Raw genomic sequence first — 21,247 nt, 5'->3', positions numbered from 1 at the left:
ATAGGTACATATAGCATATATATGCATATAGGTAAGCATGTATTGCATATCCTTTTTACAACAATTAAGACAAATATCTATATATGTACACTTGTATCTACACTGAGGAAAGTATACACAAAGAAAACATACACACACACACACACTCAAACTGTTTAAAGTGGTTAAACGTAACGGGATGAGGCAAATGACTAACCAAAAATCATTTTTCATTTGTTACATTTCTTTCTTGTTTGAATTTGTTATAGCATTTATCACTCTTACAGTTAAAAAGCACAATAAAAAGATGTAAACCGACATGCATACATTCATATTACTCTCCTACTGTAAGCAGCAAAGTAATTGTAGCATAAGAGTGTGATACACAGAACAACACCTTTTCCTATTCCTTCAGTATTACTGACTAGTGATCATGTAATTTTGGAGAGAGCTCTAAACTGAGAGCAAAAGGACTTGGACTATAATATTCTTGGGGCTGTAATACTGAGTATTTCGGTAGAACCTATGAAGCAGTATTCACCATACTTCTACCTCAGTATTTATAAAAACAAAAGAGTCACTTTCTTTAGAATTCCTACTTATTAGAGTCATGATGAGGATTAAATGAGTTATCATGTAGAGTGTTTGTAAAGTAGTTGGCACACAGCAAGCGCTAAGTTGGTTTTATTATTATTGAAGTAGTAAGTGTCCCTTTCTTTCCCACCTCTATTGTGGGAGGAGGTAAAATTCAACTGATTTCCTGACTTTCCAAAGGCAGAGGTCTTTAAGGACTTCTCTAGTGAAATGAGGGCACATGGTAGATGGTACAAAGGGAAGACTGGCATCTCCTTCCTCCTGGAGGATTGCAGGAGCCTGTGGCCCCACCATGGGGTTCCTGGAGCACAGAGAAGGGGCTAGGGGAAAGTCAAGGAAGGTTAGTGAATGTCCAAAGAGCAAGGATCACTCTCCTGGTTTTCCATGGAATCAAGTCAAGGGTGGCAGAGACTCTTAGGATTCTCATGAACCTAGACCTGACTGTAGAAGGAAAAAACACAGGGGCCTGCTGGCCATTCCATGAGATTGCCAATTGAAGCAACAAACAGTTGGGCAGGAAGGTACAAGGGAAAAAGGAAAAAATGGCACTGACCACTGGGCTTCCCAACACGGTGAGCACAAGCTGGACATCTGTCCATGATGGAGGTACCACTGGCTACCCTGAGTGACAGCCTGGCAGATGATGACATGAGCTGCAGGAGACCTTGGTTTAACCAAGGGATCATCATTCTAATAAGCTTCTTTCTAAGCTCTGCAGCAAAGGGTTAAAACTAGGGGGTGGAGAATAGGGAAAGATCCTTGAGATAAGGATGCTCTGGGGTTAAAATGATAAACTAGAGTTTATAAAAACTTCATTGAACTAAAAATATCACTGTCCTAGACTAAGTTTAACCTGGAATGAGAAAGAAGATAAGGTATCTGTTCCAGAAAGATTTTGTAGCATGTGTATGTGTGTGATAGGAAAAAGGCTTGAAGAAGAAGAGGGGAAAGACCAGGAAAGGTTATGTAGTATGAGAATAAGGTAGGCTCTATGCTTGCACAGATTTCCCATCTGCTGTACATCTTCTTTCCTCTCTTTGTTCCTAAGGAAACTTCTCTGTCCCCTTTCATGGAGTCATAACAATGGAAGAGGTTCAGGAGAAAGGAATCAGCTCCTTGCAAGGTAAAAAGAGTTAAGAGGGTTTTTTTGTTGTTGTCATTGTTTGCTTTTAAATACTATAATTTTAAAACAATGTACTGGGAAGAACACTGCAAATGGAATTCAGGAGATCAAAGAAACCTGGGATAAATATCTCGAATTCTCTCAGGCTCAATTTCCTACTCTATAAAGTCTGGTATTTGGTAGCATTAGATGACTTCTAAGATTTCCTCCATTATACTTACATTATAATTTCTGCTCTACTTCATGAACTGGAAGGGACCTTAGGGCCCGTCAAAACCCTGAGCCAATATAAGAACATTCTCTGGGATAATTCACAAAGTGTGTTACATTTTATGAATAAGTGTTTTTAATGCCTTAGTATAAATTGGTACTTTTTTTAATATAAAGGAATTGTGGACCAGAAGAGTGGTTTTCTTCGTCATGTTACTAAAATTGAGTTCCATCAGTTTTGTGTGCGAGTACATTATTTATCCACCAAAAACCTCAAAACTGGGGCTACAAGCAGAGTTTCTCAGAAGTTCCTTGTAAAGAAGTATAAGGGCTAAGCCATTGCTACACCTTTGCCAGGTGATGTTCAAGGATAAATGCTTTTAGGGTTGGGGGGTTATGCTAGTGGCAACAATAGAGATACCCCTAAACTGCAGGTGCTCAATAACTGCAAAATTTTGTTTCTTGCTCATGTGAAGTCACGTGGGTCAGCAGAGCTCTCTACTATCCAGTGACTCAGGGGTGAAGGCTCTCTCCATCTTGTCTGCCAGCACTTCAACATATGACTTTAAGTTCTTCTGATCAGGAGGAAGAAGGATACGGGAGACACAGCAACAGTTAGGAACCTAGGACCAGAAGTGCCATGTCACTTCTGCTCTCATTCCTATCTGCCAGAACTCTGTCACATGGTCCCAACCCAGCTGAAAGGACCTGGAAAATGCAGGAAAGCACATGTCTATTCAGTGGGCACGAGTTGTCTCTGGATGAATTGATGCAATCAGGGACATAAAGCCACCAAGTGAGAGCAATTCCCTGCCTTGTGTGTTTGGAATAAATGACCAAAAGTCTTGGTTTTTAATCTGTGGCTTCTTTAAACTATTTTTATTCTAAAAAACACTTAGTTTTGAAAAACTGAGGGAACTTTGCTAGGAAGTGTGTCTTCTAAACTCTTCTTCATCACATCTGGAGAGGGAGTTGCCTTTAAGTGGCTGCATCACACTGTTGATTCATCATAAAGTTTAAGCCAACAAAAATCCCGATTTAATTGTTGGGAGAAATTGCTGCCAAGCCAGACCTTCAGATCCTGTAACTGTGCCATTTATTTTGCTTTAAACCTAAATGTAAGACTTTATATTTATTCTAAGTGTCATCCTGTTATTTTCAGACAATTGCTTCAGCCTTCTGAATTTTTAATTCAGTCATCTACTGTAATATCTATTTCTTCAATATTTGCATCATACAGCAATTTGGTGAGCATATCTTCTGTGTCTACATCCAAGTTCTTGAAAAACTAGGCCAAGGGCAGAGCCCTCCAATAGAACCAGAGACCTCCCTTGAGAGGCATCACGATTCATTAATAAACACAGTGGGTTTATTTGTTCCACTAGCTTCAAATCCTCCTTACCTTATTATCAACCAGTTCACATTTCTCCAATTTCTCAAGGACTTTTAAGATTTCATAGCACATCTAGATGAAAACCGAACTCGTTATCTCCCTTCCTAAGCCCCCTCCTTCTCCTGAATTATCTACCCATTAATGGCACCACCATTCAGCCCACTGTGCCAGCAATCTGGGAGCAATCCCACAGTCTCTCTCCTTCCTCTCCCTGAGAAGTGAACTTGAGTCAGTCCTGACACTTCGCAACTGGGGCTGCCATCCCCTCAAGCCTGTACCACTGCTTCCAAGGTTTTCTGTGGGTCTCTGGGCATTCCTCCTCCAGTCTATCCTCTTCATCTTCACTCAGTGATCTTTCAAAACACAAGTCACATCATATTACACCCTCTGATGAAAACCCATTGAAACTCCCCAGTATAAGGAAAATGTTAAAAATATTTAACATGTAGTTTGGCATAGGCAATGACCAAACAGAAGGCCAGCAGGGCTACTCCAGATGGAAAGCAGGGCACCTTCTATTCTCAGATCCTAAATGTTTCTAGGTGGCACCCTTCCATCTCCTCAGCCTCCATGCAGAGGTTTCAGCAGACCCCACATTTGCATCTGAACACGCTAGCTCTGCTTTCTCAACTTTCTCAAAGCTCCTCCCTCAACACAGAAAGGGTCTTTCTCCTCTGAGGCAGGAAAGCATTTTATACATTCAACCCCATGCCCTGGTTTTTGGTAGAAACTGGTCAGTCTTCCAGGTTTTACTCTATTGAAGCAGAGCCAAGGTTTTAGAATTTGAAAATAAATGAAATAAATAAAATAAATGAAATAAAATAAAATATATAAAACAAAAGATAAGCTCCACTCCCTCTCCCCCAAAGGCCAGGTGCTTAGAAATTAAAGCTTTCCAGGCTTTCTTTTTATATTCTCAGCCAGTAATTTGACTCTGTTCTGGCTGGATTCTTTTGTGTCTTTTCTTCTCTGAGGCAATCAGCCTAAGTTTCTCTGCCTGGTTAAATGGTGAAAAGACCACAAAGTAAAAAGATTTTCCGAGAAACAAGGTGACTTCTCATAATATTTCAAAATATCATCCCAATTCTTTGTTATTCCATGCACCTATACTACAAAATTCAGCTTCATGTAGGCAGGGTCCACTATTTGATTCATCTCTGTTTTTCCAGTGCCTGGGACATATTAGATGCTCATTAAATATTTTTTGACCAAATGACTAAACCAATGAACAAAGATAGACAGTATTAACAGCATTTTGCTAATCTACCAGTATGCTAATATCATAAAAAAGGGAATGGAGTGATTGGGCTTAGTTCATCTGTTGATGGTTGGCTCACATTGCAGGAGTAGAAAAATGTATTGCTTCTTTTGAACACTGCAGGGATTTTAAGACCACATCTGTGACAGTTTTTTAAGAAAAAAAAAGGGTGGATGCATAAAGAGGAAATCTAATAACATATTTGCAGATAATGGATAATCCCTGTGTACTAAGGATTCTTAATTCTTCAAATAGAAAAGATTCACTTTGCTGCCTTCTAACCTTATGTATGTTTTCTTTCATTATAACGGTAATCAATACAATTTTATAAAACGAAGTCAGTGGTTTTGTCTGGATTCGTCTTTTCAAAGCCTGTTCAACTTATTGGACTTCCCAGTGCAGAACTGGGCTTTAATAATGAGTATATTAACACAACAAAAATAAACTCATATTTTCCAGGTGCTAAGTATTAGCCCTTCTTAATTATTTCTAAAAGGCCCTTTTTTTCTCTTTCACGTGATTCCTTCTTTCTTTATGTGACATTTCAAAATAAATTATCATTGACCTTGCATGGTCCTTAACAGATTTCAGTGGCTTTGTGACATTGATCTCTTCCCACAACTGGTGCCACCTCTGTGGAATGCAGGTGAAAGCAAATATTGCTGTGTTGTTAGAAGCAGCATTATAAAGAGAAAGTAAGTGCGTGGGTTCTGGTTTGAATTATTCTACTAGTCACTCTGGGGAATTGCGTATTGCTCAGAATATGTACAATGAGCCTAAGATCATGTGCGATTACAATAATTAAATAAGATACATTACATAAGGGGACTGGTATAATTTATAACAACAATGAAGATTACACCAAATCTATGGATTAAGCAAGTAACTTGCTACCTAGATCCCACTGATCTCACTGGAAATGAGAGTTAGGTCAGAAAGTGGGTGTGAAAATGGCCTACCACACTAGCTGTCCAGATTGCCAAAGCTGACTCAGCTAACCTGGCCTGCTTGGACAGTGTCCTTCTCCCTTCCTCTGCTCCGAGTGCTTTCCTCAAGAAGTCACAGTGTTTGCAGACAGAAGAGGCCACACTGCCTACCCCGACCCCCAGTAGTTTTGCTTTCCAGTAGAATGGGTCCGCAGGCGCTTAAGGTCTATTAGCGGGTCAGGAAGCCTCTTGCTCCCCCGATCTCCAAGCACTGGATCATCACACAACCAGATAACTTATTAAATGTACAGGAGGAGAAGATTTTCTTAATGTATTGCGTGGCTACTGTATTAGCACTCTCTCTCGCTCTCTCTCTCGCTGTCTCTGTGTGTGTGTGTGTGTGTGTGAACAACTAAATATAGTGAGTTTTCTTTATCTCTTGGTTTCATTTTTATATTCAGTTCTTGAAAAGACATTTTACTCATTTTTAGTTCAAAAAAAATTAGGCCCACTTTTCCAAGCTGTTTTCAATTATGTTACTCCACCCACTCTCCATGTTTTTTCCTGGGCCCTCTTTTACCCCCTGAAGGATTTACAGGGCAGCCCTCTGCTCTTTCTCAGCCACTGTGGTCACACTGCCTCCACACACCTGATCTGATCTACAGGGAGCCTGCTGGTTCAGATTCAGAGACTGTGCCAGTTAGAATAGGAAAGTTCCTCTTCCTTCCCAGCCCTCATTCCCAAATATTTGTTGATATATGAATATCAGCCAACAGATCCTATTTTTCAAGAATCACTATGTTTCTTCATAGATTTAAATCAGTTGAAATCTGCCCTGGCTCCCCCTCCATCAAGGCTGGTGGAAAATATAATTTCAGTCCTCAATTGGACTCCCCACCTCCAAGGACTGTGCAAAAAACTTATATATTGTCAGAACATCAGGTTGGTTCTTCTGGTCATGTGCTGTGGTCGTACTGAGATGGCCTGTTGCTACAGTCCAGTTGGGGCTGTCAGCCCTAGCAGCCAACCTGAGGGCACTGGATTATAGGACCAGCCTTAGGTGCCCTCTGCAACCACCCTTGGGGTCTCTTCCCTTTGTCAGAGTTGGCCACGGAGCAATATGTGGATCTCTAATATTAGAGAAACCCTCTCACGTTCATCTCCTTACACGGTCTCTGGAAATCCCTGCCTTCTATTTCTGCTGGACTTGAAAGTCATTATCTTTTCTCTCTTTCCTCTCTGGGGTACCTGGCACCATTTCTTTAAAGGGTTTAAGCCTTGGCACAAGATAAAAAAGGTCGATATCGAGTTTTCTGTCAGGTATTAGGATGTTTGAAACAAAAGGAAGGAAAAAGACAAAGAGTAAATTATTTGCTCAAATAATATCCTGTTTGCTCTTTCTAGAATGAGTAAACTCTAGTTAAGAGAACAACCCCAGGGGATCCCTGGCAGTGGGGAGAAATGTAGTGTGGCACAGAGACATCTGTGGAGCAGCTGGGGGCGGTGGGGGGCTGCAACAGACCTGAGGATGGTGAGGGTCTTTGCTATAGCATGTGTGTGATTTCCCAGGTCTCCCAGAGTGATGCCCCAGTGAGGCATTTGGACTCTAATTTTACATTGCTACATTAGTATTTCTTCATTTTACCTTTCTTGTTTCGTGCCTCTTTTTCACTTATTGTACTTTTCTTCTTTGTCTTTTCCCAACATAATTTCAGGTTGTGCTCATGGAAAGTATAGCTACTGTAAAGTCAGATATTGTTTGTCAAGGTACCAGATGCCATGAAGGCCTGATTGCTGGGTGATTGCTAGTCACTGGGCTAACTTAATAAGGAGAGTAGCCCACAGTTCAGTCATTGTAATATTCAGATGACCCTATCAGATCAAAGGTGATTTGAAGTTTGAGCAATCACTCTGCAAGTCACTGAACCGGTGTAATGCATGTCTCTTTAATTATGGAGTCAGAAGGAACATTAGCTCTTTGCTACAACTTTAGTTTCTTATGCTTTTTGCATGATTTCCACCTTCCTGTCTTCTTTCAACTTGCAGCAAATATGAATTTCTGGGCTACTCTTTTCCATTTCACTTATTTTATATATTTATGCCCAGGTTTATAAACATTTAAGCTTATGAATGCCGTTTATTGTATTTCTATTATCCACTTTGGTTGTAGAGCATCTGCTTTCTTTCATATGCTCAATATAAAAAAAGTTTTTGGGCTACACAAATATGTTATAAGCTTATACAATTTTACAGTACATGATTTGCTGTGTCCTTTTTCCATTACAAATTGCATTTCACTTTTCTCCACTTTTTAAAATTCTATACAACAAAGGTCAGCACATAACTTCCCATGGGTCAACTCTCAACCACAGCCTAGTTTTGTAAATAATGTTTTGATGCAACACAGCTATGCCCATTCTTTCACGTACTGTCTGTGGCTGCTTTCACACTACAATATCAGAATTGAGTAGTAATGCCAGAGACTATAGATCTTTACAGAAAAAGTTTGCTGACTCCTACTATGGAACAATAATAAAAAATTATTTTCATCACTGAATCGTAGAGCTTCAGAGCTAAAAAAAAGGATAGTAGTCCAAGAACTTCATTTTAGAGAAAACAGGCCCATACAAGCATCAGACTTTACCAAGTGTTCACTATGTGCCAAGCACTGTACCTTAGCAAATATTATCTCATTTACTACCCACAACCAATATTTTTTCTATCGTATACAAAAGTAAATCAGGATACATGAGCTTGAATAACACTCCCCGGTCATACAGTTACTATAATCAATGGAGATGGTGGGATTGGACCCACAGCATGGGGCTTCAGAGTCCAGAAACAAAACCCTTGCACCATTCAGCCACTAGGTGAAATAATTTCCTCTACATTCCACAGAAACTATCAGAACAAGGACTAGTGCCCAGTTTCCTCTTGTCTCATGCCACTTATTTAAAGTAAAGATTTTTATACACCTCTATGTTCTGTGACCAAGAAAAGAAGAGGACCTTTTTTTTGTGTCTTCCCTGAGTCTTGGCTAAAAGTACACTGACTGTATGCTCTGGGGTAGGACATCTGTCCCAGCATGCCTGGAACTAGTGCTTTCCCAGGTGAGTCACATAGCTATGGCTGTGTTTCCTAGACACTCACTTGAGGGCTGACTTAATCCCTTAAGGTCTGTCTAGAGGGGCAGTGAACCATCTATTAGAGGCCCTTCAGTTCCCAGGAGGAAATGGGACTCTTCCTCCCCAAGTCAACCTGTTATGCTTAGCCTTCCCCGTGCTCAAAAAGTAGAAATCACTATTTGGATCATAAAATTTATGACTAATATTTGCAATTGGAACAAGCTTAGGGGTACATGCTGCAAAAATTATGGACTTGGCATAAAATTAAACAGCCTGTTAATGCTGTACAGGTTTTGTCAGTTACGTTAACGACTGCAGCTTCATGACTGTTGCATTTCCACATGTCAGCACTCCCGGGCCTCCACACCTATATGCCCCACTGCCTTAGAAATGTCTACCTGACTCTTTAATCAACCTACTGCTAGGGTTTAGATGTTTGCGTCCCTTCAAAGTTCATGTTGAAACTCAATCCCCGTTGTGGTGGTATTAAGAGGTGGGCTTTTTAGGAAGTGATTAAGTCGTGAGGGCCAAACACTCAAGAATGGAATGAATGCCCTCATAAAAGAGGCTTCAGGGCCAGGCACGGTGGCTCACGCCTATAATCCCAGCACTTTGGGAGGCCAAGGCAGGCGAATCATGAGGTAAGGAGTTCGAGACCAGCCTGGCCAACATGGTGAAACCCCTTCTCTACTAAAAATACAAAAAATTAGCTGGGCATGGTGGCAGGTGCCTGTAATCCCAGCTACTCAGGAGGCTGAGGCAGGAGAATCGATTGAATCTGGGAGGCAGAGGTTGCAGTGAGCTGAGATCACACCACTGCACTCCAGCCCAGGTGACAGTGCGAGACTCGGTCTCAAAAAAAAAAAGGCTTCAGAAGATGAACTGGCCCTTTTGCCATGTGAGGATGCAGTAAGAAGAAGGTGCCATCTTGGAAGCAGAGAGCAAGCCCTCCCCAGACACTGAATCTGTTAGACTTCCCAGGCTTCAGAACAGTGAGAAATAGAATTTCTACTATTTATAAGTTACCCAATTTAAGGTACTATTTATAACAGCAGGAATAAACTAAGACATTTACGTTCATGTCTTAACTCCTTAGTCTTTTGTAATTTGGTTCTCTCCTCAGGTTTCTGATACTGTCCTTCCTGAAATGAAGAGCTCCTCTACCTTAACCCAGCCTGCTAAGACTGCTACAGCAAGATTGACAGCTGGTCAGATTGCTGTCCTCATAAAAGCATGGTCATCACCTTCAGCTGGGCTCTCAAATGGAACAGCCGGGCAATCTTTGTTTCCCTGGTCAGTTTGTCTTCCCATTTCCATGTCAAAATTCCTGTCAAACTTCTGAATCTCTCACCTATCTCAGCAAATGGGAAGTCTCCACATCTCTACACCTACCTGTTCTCATGCTCCTGTCCTGCTTCGCTCCTCACATTTGACAAGGAGCTCCTCCTCCTATGAAAGGCCACTTGTCCCATAGCTTTCTTCCATCCCATCGTGTCTCAGCATCTCAGGGATCTTGCACTGATCATTGTCCCATTTTCAGAGCCGGTCCAAGAGGCAGATTACCTGAGCAGCAGCCTGGCATGCCAATTTGTAAGAAGTGAAGAGCATCCTTGAAATAATTAGAGAAGAACAGTAACAGTTAATTTAGGTTTTCCTATATAAACAAAGCATAAATTGGCCTGTTTCTTACTGAATAGAAATTTAAACCAAACAAAATGAAACAAAGAAGCATATTCCTCTGACTCTGGTCCATCACAAATGAGTTTTTGTGATCTTTCCCGTTGCAGGATGCAAGGATGTATAAGTAGAATCGCAGTGTTGCCAACAATGAAGTTGGCCAGCTGACAATTGTTTGGAGGCAAGTGAAATCCTCAAGCCTAACACAGTGGAGAAACATCAAACGTGTATTTGATTATATAAAATCAATTATATATGAACCACTAAAGAGAGAGTAAGAATAAAAGTGAGAGCTGAGCAAATAACAATTTAAATATTATGAGCAATTCTGCCTGCAGGTCCCCTCACTGCTCATATGACCCAAAATAGTGCTGTCAGAGAGGAGAAAAACTAATCCCTGGAGTGTGTACAAGGCCCATCTTCATTATCTCATTCCTCATCACACAGACACTGGAGTAATCATTACTGTCAGCATCAGTCACTGTGGTGAATCACCATTATTATCCTCAGAGTCACACAAAGATATTCAGAATGTATAGGGTTTACTTAGCATTATTGTTTTTCTTTTAAAAAAATGCTTTCATTCTCCTCGTTACCCCATAATTAAAAATACTCTAGAATTATACTTTGCATATGTACAGGCTATTATATCCTTGACATCACTGTCTAGTTTACACATGTATACATGCATATTACCATAGAGCAGTGTATATACCAAACCATGGACACTCCACTTATATTTAGTGTAAGGGATACCCAAGAATTAATTTGAGAAAACATTATTATCACTTAGGACTTTGACTTTACAACTACCCCCTACATAAGCTGCCATCCTTGTAATGTAGAGTACATTGTAACATAAAGAATAATACTGTTTTGCAGGAGAGAGTGACTTATCTAATAAATACACCCAAAATATTACCTGATTTTGAAAATTATAACAGAAAGAAGTACAGAAAAATTGGAAAACTTCTTGCCAACATGAATCTAGGAAAAAAGGACTTCAAAATATTTTGAACAAAACCTGTAGCTAACATGCTTAAGTTACTTTTATCCATAGAGATTTGGAATGAGTAAATATCCAGTTTTGAGTAAAAAAAAATCTCTGAAATATAAGACAATTCCAAATAAATTAAACGCTGTATAACGTTTAGTGCTTAGAGATCCCTTATTTGAATCAGAATTTTAATAATAAGCTATGCCATTTCTTTTATATTAAAAGTCAGTTTCCCATCCCCATTAAATATTAGCCAAATTTTTTTAAAAAATCACCTTGTTGAGGGTTCCAATTAATAGCCTATATCAATTTTGGTTTGCTATATTCTTTCATGTATCTTCAGACATTTATTCTGAACTAGCTCTTTCCTGTGTTAAAACCAAACTAAAAATCCAACGAAAAAAACTCCTTTGACCCAATGTCCTCTCCAGCTACTGTTAAATTATCTCACCTTCCCAGCCAAACTTTGTTTGAGACAAGATGTCACTCTGTTGCCCAGGCTGGAGTGGCAGTGGTGCGATCATGGCTCACTGTAACCTCGACCTCCCAGCTCAGGTGTCCCTCGCACCTCAGCCTCCTGGGTAGCTGGGACTACAGGCGTGGGCCACCATGCCTGCCTAATTTTTTGTATTTTTTGTAGAGACAGGGTTTCACCATGTTGCCCAGGCTTCTCTTGAACTCCTGGGCTCAAGGATCCTCCCACCTCAGCCTCCCCAAGTCCTGGGATTATAGGCATGAGCCACTGCACCTGGCCCTAGCCCAACTTTTTAAATTAGCTAAGGTTGTTTGCAATTCTGAAACTTGACTTATTCAGTCTTTTAAGTGGTCTCCTCAATTTAATTTCTGTTTCAATTCGTTCTCCAAACTGTAAGTTGAGCAACTTCTAAAATACAGATTTCATCATGACACTCTCAATCTTGAAATCATTCTATTGCTCTCTATTCCTATAAGGATACAGTGTCAATTCCACTGCATCATTTATGAGGTTCTCCACCACCTGGTGCCTACTACCTCACCAGCTCAGCTCTTGCTGCTCACATATACCTGGAACTCTAGCTCATTAATCTTTCCCTGTTCAGTTTCTCAATTGTGTCATGCTCACTCTCACCTAGAAAGTTACTCAGACTGTTTCCTCTGTCTGGGACTTCTTTTGTCGGATTTTCAGGGCTCTCACCCTTCACCTCTCAGCTTAAATGTGTCTTCTCCATCATGGTCTTTGTTAGGGTTCCTTGCCACATGTTGTCCTTGTGAGACAGCCAGGTGGGAGGGGGTCCCTGGAGAAACTCCAACAAGCCTGCCCACTGAGTTGGAGCCTCTGAAGTTCACCGTGTTTGCAGCAGGGAGGAACCTGGCCCCTCCTCTTCCTGTGTGGAACCTGGGATTCAAATTGCCGGGCTGGAAGTGCTCTAGCAGAGGGAGTTTCCCCCGTTTTTCCTTTTTCACTCAATGAAACCCTGCTTTACTCACCCTTTAAGCCATGGGCCAGCCTAAATTTTCATTTTCATGGCCGTGGGAGGGACAAGAACCCCCATCTTTAGCTGAACTAAGGAAAAGTCCTGCAACATTTTTGACGCACAACGTGGTGGCTTGAGAAGCCGTGAGTGAAATGGGGACTCAAAACTTCTCTCTGTTGCTCCTAAGCATTTTCATCCTCCGACTTCTGAGGGTGAGGGAAAGATGCCCCCAAACCTGGTGGCTCCCGGGGGCGGGGGGGTCAGGAGAAAGGCCCTTTCCTTCCTTTTTTGGGAAGGACAGGTGAGCAGGAAGTCCTCTCTCCCCCTCCCCTTCCTGCAGAGGCTGGGACTCATAGCCCAAGGGTCCTGCACAGCCCGCTGGCTGGAAGGGGTTCAGCTTTGAACTTTAGTTTTGAGTAAGATAGGAAAAGCCGAAGAAGTGGCGGAAGAATTGTGGAAATTAATCTTGCAGAAGAGGTTCTCTGTGTGAACTTATTAACTAAATTTAAAGGGGTTATAAAAGGTTTTTGCTTCTTTAAATGTCTAAGTCATCATTTTGGCAATAGAAATCACGTATGATAATCTGGAACTCTCTTTCGTAATATCAAGTGTTTTAAACCTTGAACATTTAACCTTGAACCTTGAACATTTAACCTTGAACCTTGAACAGCCTTCTCAAAATCAAAATTTTGAAAAGTTTCAAAATTGTCTTCCCTGGCATCTGGCTTTTCGAATACTTAAGAGGGCCCCTAAAGTGTCCAGAAAAGAGAGGTAAACAGGATTATTTGGCATGTTTAGGTACATGGGATTGCCAAAATGATGCTCAGTCTTCTTTAGGTTATATCTTGGTGAATAATGCTAATATATATTCCAAAATTGCATGGGATTTCTAAAATTCTAATGTCTGAGTATATGCTATCAATCACAATTAAGGTTTTTATGTTAAGTTATTGTAAACCACAGGGATAACCAAGCTTCTTTGTCAATTGTGTTTCTAATTTTAACTACCCTGGACATTTTGCTATTCACAGACAATTGTTGTCTTGTTTTAATTCTTTTCAAAAGATGGTTTATAATAGGGTATAAGACTCTGATAAGTGCTTTCAGATACAATTTCTGATTTTATTTGAGACAATCAGGTTTCTGATAACTTTGCAGATTGTAACATTGGAATAAAGGAAAATGTACAAGACTCATGAAGAGCTGAAATGTTCACGAATATCGAGCAAAACCAGAGTTAACTAAATGGACTGAACTCAGAAAGCTGAAGAAACCTTTTTACTTTTGCTTGGAATATTGGTGATCCTTTTTTAGTTTTTCAGAGCCAAGGAAACTTATTTTGAGCTATTTATGGCCTTTAATAATTAAGTAAGGTATACACTCCTGTGATCAAGATTTGGAGCATGTTTGTTTCTCTCTGCCTGGTTTCTCTAGAATTTGGAAACTGTGAGTATTCTTATGGCAATATAGTTGTTTGCATCAGTGCAGTAAGACTCCATTTTTCTTTTGCAACAGGACACAGTTGGAAAAACTGGTAATTTTACCAAGGCTTTGACTGGAAGGGTATGCTTCCCTTTCAGGAGTCAATCTAGATTTGCAGAGTCAATAAAAGCCTAGTGGGGAAACTAGCCTCATACTATCACCTACACAGTCCCTGTACAGGGTTACTGACCTGTGGTCAGTAAAGAATGTCACTAACAGCTCTAGGAGCTTCAAGTTTATCTTGGGACCTTAAGAGGAGAGGATCACCCAACTCACAGGTATTTGAGGATACAAACCCATGGTTGGGCTTGGCTTTAAAAGGTCTTATCTGAGATTCCTTGTGGAACAGAATTCCATCAAAGCCAATCCAAAAGGCCTATGTAGAAATAATTATTCTTGCTGCACTTTATGCAAATAATCAGGCCAAGTATAAAGCTAAAGTCTGTTTTGCAAACCACTCAGTTCCTATGATGATTTGTTTTTTAATAAATATGAGGACTGGAGAGAGAGAAATCATATTTGAAAACTTATCATACATTTGTCATTAAATTCTAAACTCACTAGTTGTTTTTAAGTCTTTGCCTACATTTTAGGTTTGCTCCTGTGAATCAACTAGCAATCCCTGGCTGCAGCTCAGAAAGAACAAAAGGGGTGGGTAATATAGAAATTCGGATCAATATTCTAGTTCTGAGCAATTATCCTGCAAATACTGCCAGGTGATGCACATCATGCGAAGGTTTCCTTTTTGGGAAAGGAAGACCAAGGGAACTAACCAAAGCTAAGCACCATGCACCCAAATCCTAGCAAGCATAACTATAGCCACCAGTTATCTGGATGTGTCACAAGACATCCTTTCCTCCCCCTTGTTGGAGGACTCAGTTCCACAGTTTCACCTTAGCATTTGGTTTATGATAAGGAGTCCATACAAACACCTCCCCACTATTCCCCAACTCCTCCAGACACATTTTTGTCCCAGACTCAATTCCAAGCTTCAGGTCAAAGCCCTAGGAAAGAAAACTGGATCTAAGGGATCCAGAGGCAAATGACAACAGAGGTTAAAAAGCACAGTGCAGGTGAGCATGGCTGATTCCTGTCAATTAAGCCAACCCCAAGCTTCCTATTTCATGGATAAAGGCCATGTTAGTATCCATGGCATAAATGAGGCCTAGGGAATCCAAGACCACTGACAGCAGGGGAGATAGGGCATATGTGGGTAAGAGCAGATGATTCCTACCCCCTAGGCCCCCCTGCTTCATGGGTACAAGCTGCTTTGGCACTCATGGTGGGACCTGACAAGGTCACCAGGACTCGGGGATGCAAGGATGGAAGAGGGAAAGAGGATGCTCTTCCTTCTTTCCCTCATGTACCCTGGGTATCTGCTAGGAAGAGAAGGGAACCAAGGATGCCTGCTCCCTTCTTTCTAGATGGGTAGCCATTCATCTTCAGTCTGTTCCCCTTTAGAATGCATCCTGAACCCCTGGGACTTCTTTGAAAAATACACCTTCTTTTTATTCCTTTCTCTTCTTTTGTTGTCTCTTCGCCAATAGGTAATCATGTCTCCATATTACAAGACACTCCCCTCAGATGCACCCTCCAAATTGGAAAGAGTTAATTCCCCAAACCTTAAACTGGTTGGCTTAGGGCTGGGGCCCACAGGAAGTGAACCCAGACACCTGATATGCAGCAAAAGGGTAAAGTTTTTTTTGCCAGTTGGGCTTTTGGCCTTCCTCTCCCTGAGCAAACTGGTAAAAGGCCTCAGAATTTTTGAGCTGTCTTTACCCCTCCCCTTGTTTTGTTTTGATACATGTTTTCTAATAACCTGGTTTGTCGGTTCTTGCCTTCAGGCCACCAAACTCCAAACAGTCATGCAACTGGAACCTCTGACAATGGCCCCTTTTGCTGGGGACCCTTATATCAGCCTCTGAGAGAGCTCTGACTGCTGTTTCCCCAAAACAACACCCCCTGTCAGCAGGAAGGATTTAAGATCGGTCTTTGTCCTTGTCCTTAATCCAATGGCAGTTAGATGTACTTCTTTAGAGGGGAGAATGAGACAGCCAGGTGGGAGGGAGTCCCTGGAGAAACTCCAAACAGCCTGCCCACTGAGGTGGAGCCTCAGGAAGTTCATAATGTTTGCAGCAGGGAGGAACCTGGTCCCTCGCCTTCCTGTGTGGAACCTGGGATTCAAACTGCCAGGAGGGAAGCACTCTAACAGAGGGACTCTGGCCTTGCAAGAGTCCCTGTTCCTCAGGTTTTTCCCTTTTCACCCAATAAAACCCTACTTTACTCACCCTTTAAGCCATCTGACAGCCCAAATTTTCATGGCCGTGGGACAGAGAAGAACCCTGTCTTTAGCTGAACTAAAGAAAAGTCCTGCAACAGTTTCCTATCCCCCTGTATTATTCACCACACTTGCAATACCTGGTTTAGTGCCTGTACAAAGATCCCATGAAGGTATCTGTCTTCTTTACCCTTTTACACTTCAGAACCTAGTATGGTCCTTGGCAGACAGAATGCCTCCAATAAATATTTGTGAAATAAATAAGAATCTAAGCGTTCCTTTCTGGAGTCTTACAATCATTTTAATTTCTTTATCACTGCTTTGCTCTGGAATTACTTCAGTTATCCTTATTTTTTTCTAGAAGAAAAATGTTTTATAATCTGAGAATATGGAATGCTTAACAAAATTGGATTGTACCCTGAGTAGATAATGTACTTCAAAAGTGTATTCAATGGTCAGTAGATAATGTACTTCAAAAGTGTATTAAAAAGAAATCAATGTTACTTCTAATTTGAAAAATGGAGATATAGAAAAAGAAGATCTGAGAATCACTCTCATGTATTTTCCCCAATAATATTAAGTCAAAAATAATATTAAGTTAAAAAAAATAAAGTACTAAGAATATTAGCAAAACATTTAAGAGATTTTAGATATTACATAGGTGCTGGAGACACACTTATACTCTATTAAATCTAAAAGCCGTGAAAGAAAAAATAGACATATTTGATTATGTAAAAGTTTTAAATTCTGTATGGGAAAAGATGTTTATGTGATTTGGCTGTGTCCCCACCCAAATTTCAACTTGATTTGTAGCTCACATAATCCCCACATGTCATGGGAGGGACCCAGTGGGAGATAATTGAATCATTCGGGGCAGGTTTTTCCCATGCTGTTCTCGTGATAATGAATAAGTCTCATGAGATCTGATGGTTTTATGAAGGGCAGTTCTCCTGCACATGCTCTCTTGCCTGCCATTATGTAAGATGTACCTTTGCTCTTCCTTTGTCTTCCACCATGATTGTGAGGCCTCCCAAGCCATGTGGAACTGTGAGTCCATTAAACCTCTTTTTCTTTATAAATTACCCAGTCTTGGGTATTTCTTCATAGCAGTATGAAAATAGACTAATACAGTAAATTGGTACTGGTAAAGTGGGGTACAGTTATTAAGATACCCAAAAATGTGGAATTGACTTTGGAACTGGGTAAGAAGCAGAGGTTGGAACAGTTTGGAGGGCTCAGAAGAAGACAGGAAAATGTGGGAAAGTTAGAAACTTCCCAGAGACTTGTTGAATGGCTTTGACCAAAAAGCCGATAGTGATATGGACAATAAAGTCCAGGCTAGGTGGTCTCAGATGGAAATGAGGAACTTGTTGGAAACAGGAGTGAAGATGACTCTTGTTATGTTTTAGCAAAGAGATTGGTGGCATTTTTCTCCTGCCTCAGAGATCTGTGGAACTCTGAACTTGAGAGAGATGATTTAGGGTATCTGGCAGAAGAAATTTCTAAGCGTCAAAGCATTGAAGAGGAAGCAGAGCATAAAAATTTGGAAAACTTGTAGCCTGACAATGCGATAGAAAAGAAAAACCCAGTTTCTGAGGAGAAATTCAAGCCAGCTACAGAAATTTGTGTAAGTAACGAGGAGCCTAATGTTAATCACCAAGATAATAGGGAAAATGTCTCCAGGACATGTCAGAGACCTTCACAGCAGCCCCTCCCATCACAGACCCAGAGGCCTAGGAGGGAAAAATGGTTTTCTGGGCCAGGTCCAGGACCCCCTGCTGTGTGCAGCCTAGGGACTTGGTGCCGTGCATCCCAGCCCATCCAGCCATGGCTAAAAGGGGCCAAGGTACAGCTCAGGCTGTTGCTTCAGAGGGTTCAAGCCCCAAGCCATGGCAGCTTCCATGTGGTATAGGTCCTGCAGGTACATAGAAGACAATAATTGAGATTTGGGAACCTCTACCTAGATTTCAGAGGATGTATGGAAATACCTGGATGTACAGGCAGAAGCTTGCTGCAGAGGTGGAGCCCTCAGGGAGAACCTCTGCTAGGGCAGTGTGGAAGGGAAATGTGGGGTTGAAGCCTCCCTCACATAGAGTCCCCACTGGGACACTGCCTAGTGGAGCTATGAGAAGAGGGCCACCATCCTGCAGACCCCAGAATGGTAGATCCACCAACAGCTTGAACTGCATGCCTGGAAAGTCAGCAGACACTCAGTGCCAGCCTGTGGAAGCAGATTACAGGGGGACTGTACCCTGCAAAGCCACAGGGGTAGAGCTGCCCAGGGCCATGGGAATCCACCTCTTGCATCAGCATGAGCTGGATTTGAGACACGGAGTCAAAGGAGATCATTTTGGAACTTTAAGGTTTAATGACTGCACTATTGAATTTTGAACTTGAATGGGGCCTGTGGCCCCTTTGTTTTGTTTTCAATTTCTCCCCTTTGGACTGTGTATATTTACGCAATGCCTGTACCCCCAATGTATCCAGGAAGTAACTAACTTGCTTTTGATTTTACAGGCTCTTAGGCAGAAGGGACTTGCCTTGTCTCAGATGAGACTTTGGACTTGAGTTTACATTGGAATAAGTTAAGACTTTGGGGGACTGTGGGGAATGCATGATTGTGTTTTGAAATGCGAGGACATGAGATCTGCGAGGGGCGGGGGGTGGAATGATATGGTTTGGCTGTGTCCCTACCCAAATTTCACCTTTTTTTTTGTTTTTGAGAAATAATCTCACTCTGTCACCCAGACTGGAGTGCAGTGGTGTGATCTCGGCTCACTGCAGCCTTTGCCTCCCAGGTTCAAGTGATTCTCTTGTCTTAGACTCCCCAGTAGCTGGGATCACAGATGCCCACCAACATGCTTGGCTAATCTTTTTGTATTTTTAGCGGAGATGGGGTTTCACCATGTTGGCCAGGCTGGTTTTGAACTCCTGACCTCAAATGACCCACCCACCTCGGCCTCCCAAAGTGTTAGGATTACAGGCATGAGACACCATGCCCAGTCCAGATTTCATCTTGAATTGGAGCTCCCGTAATCCCCACATGTCATGGGAGGGACTTGGTGGGAAGTAATTGAATCATGGGGGCAGGTTTTCTCATGCTGTTCTCATGATAGTGAATAAGTCTCATGAGATCTGGTGGTTTTATAAAGGGCAGTTCCCCTGCACATGCTCTCTTGCCTGCCACCATGTAAGATGTGCCTGTGCTTCTCCTTCACTTTCCACCAAGATTGTGAGGCCTGCCCAGCCTGTGGAACTGTGAGTCCATTAAACCTCTTTTTCATCATAAATTACCCAGTCTCAGGTGTTTCTTCATAGCAGTATGAAAATGGACTAATACAGGTGTCATAAACAAAGCTGAACAAATGAAAGATCAGGGAAAATATCTGCAATGTATTTTCCAGATAAAAATCTAACACATACAATTTTATTGATTATCTAATGCTATAAAATAAATAACCTCAAAGTTAGCAGCTTAAAACCACGTACATTTTTATCTCAAAGTTTTTGTGGGTCAGAAATCCAGGCCACATTATTGAGTTTTCTGCTTCAGAATCTTTCATAATGCCGCAATCAAGATGCCAACCAGGCTATAGTCTCATCTAATGGCTTGACTGAGGAAGGATCTGCTTCCAAGCTCATGTGGATGTTCAAAGGATTCATTTCCTCGAGGATTGTTGGGATAAGGGCCTAAGTTTCTTACAGGTTATTGGATAGGGGTCATCTCAGTTCCTCACCAAGTGGCCCTCTCCATCACACAAGCATAAAGAAGAGCCACAGAGAGAAAACTGACAAAATGGAAGTCATAGTCTTTTGTAACCTAAATGCAGAAGTGATATCCCACCACTTTTGCCATATACTAATCTTCAGAAGCAAACCACTACATCCAGCCCACACTCATAGGAGGGAGTTATACAACAGCACAAATATCAGGATGTGGAATCATAGAGAACCATTTTAGAAGGCTGTCTACCACAGAAGTATACAAATTGCTTTGATTGGAAAAAGATACCCCAACCTGAATGTGAGGATAAGAATAGGCAACTTATACAAAAAGATAGGAATAGGTAATTCACACAAGAGCAAATCTAAATGATCATTTTACATATGAAGAGACTTTCCTCTTTTCCAGTAGTCATGGAAATGCAAATTAACAGGTCAATGAGAGGATCATATTAACTCTCAGATAAGACTCAGATTAATTTATAAAGTTGAGATATATTCTCATAAATGCATTGTTAATGGAATATGAATACTACAGCCTTTTTGGAAAGCAATTTAATATCAATTAAAAATAGAACTATACATTCTTTTTGACTTAAAAATGTAATCCAAAAAATTAAATCAAGAGCATACACCCACACACACACACACATACACACACACTTACTGTAGTATTGTTTCAGTGCAAAAAACTGGAAACAAAATGGATAGCCATCAACAGGGAAATAATAAAGTGTGGTATGTGAATATGTAATATTATGTAGCCATTAAAAGGAATATATTAGAGGAAGAGGATGCCATGCCATAGAGACAGAGACAGAGAGACAGTAGACAGAGACAGAGATGTAGACAGAGACAGAAGAAAAAAAGAAAAAGAAATAAAAATAAAAATGGCAAAAAATACTATGAGACAAGTATGCATTTTTATAAATTTGCATTTGTGGCCATATATACAAAGAAATAGATTTTTAAAATTTTAATGGATTAACTCTATATTAAGTAATTGGAGGAGTTTCCATATTTATGAG

The 21,247-nt window shown here is 41.0% G+C and overlaps 1 long non-coding RNA gene across 1 annotated transcript in view; it reads right to left on the bottom strand.

Moving 5' to 3' along the window:
* The window catches only part of STARD4-AS1 (STARD4 antisense RNA 1), a 227,501-nt gene that overhangs the window by 60,091 nt on the left and 146,163 nt on the right, over nt 1-21,247 (bottom strand). The window contains exon 2 of the long non-coding RNA NR_040093.1: nt 10,001-10,217. This is a non-coding gene — a long non-coding RNA (STARD4 antisense RNA 1). The remainder of the gene's footprint in view (nt 1-10,000; nt 10,218-21,247) is intronic.

Source organism: Homo sapiens, chromosome 5, assembly GCF_000001405.40.
Source record: "Homo sapiens chromosome 5, GRCh38.p14 Primary Assembly".
Lineage (NCBI taxonomy): Eukaryota > Metazoa > Chordata > Mammalia > Primates > Hominidae > Homo > Homo sapiens.
The sequence above is the reverse complement of the archived record's forward strand: the minus strand, read 5'-3'. Positions and strand labels throughout refer to the sequence as shown.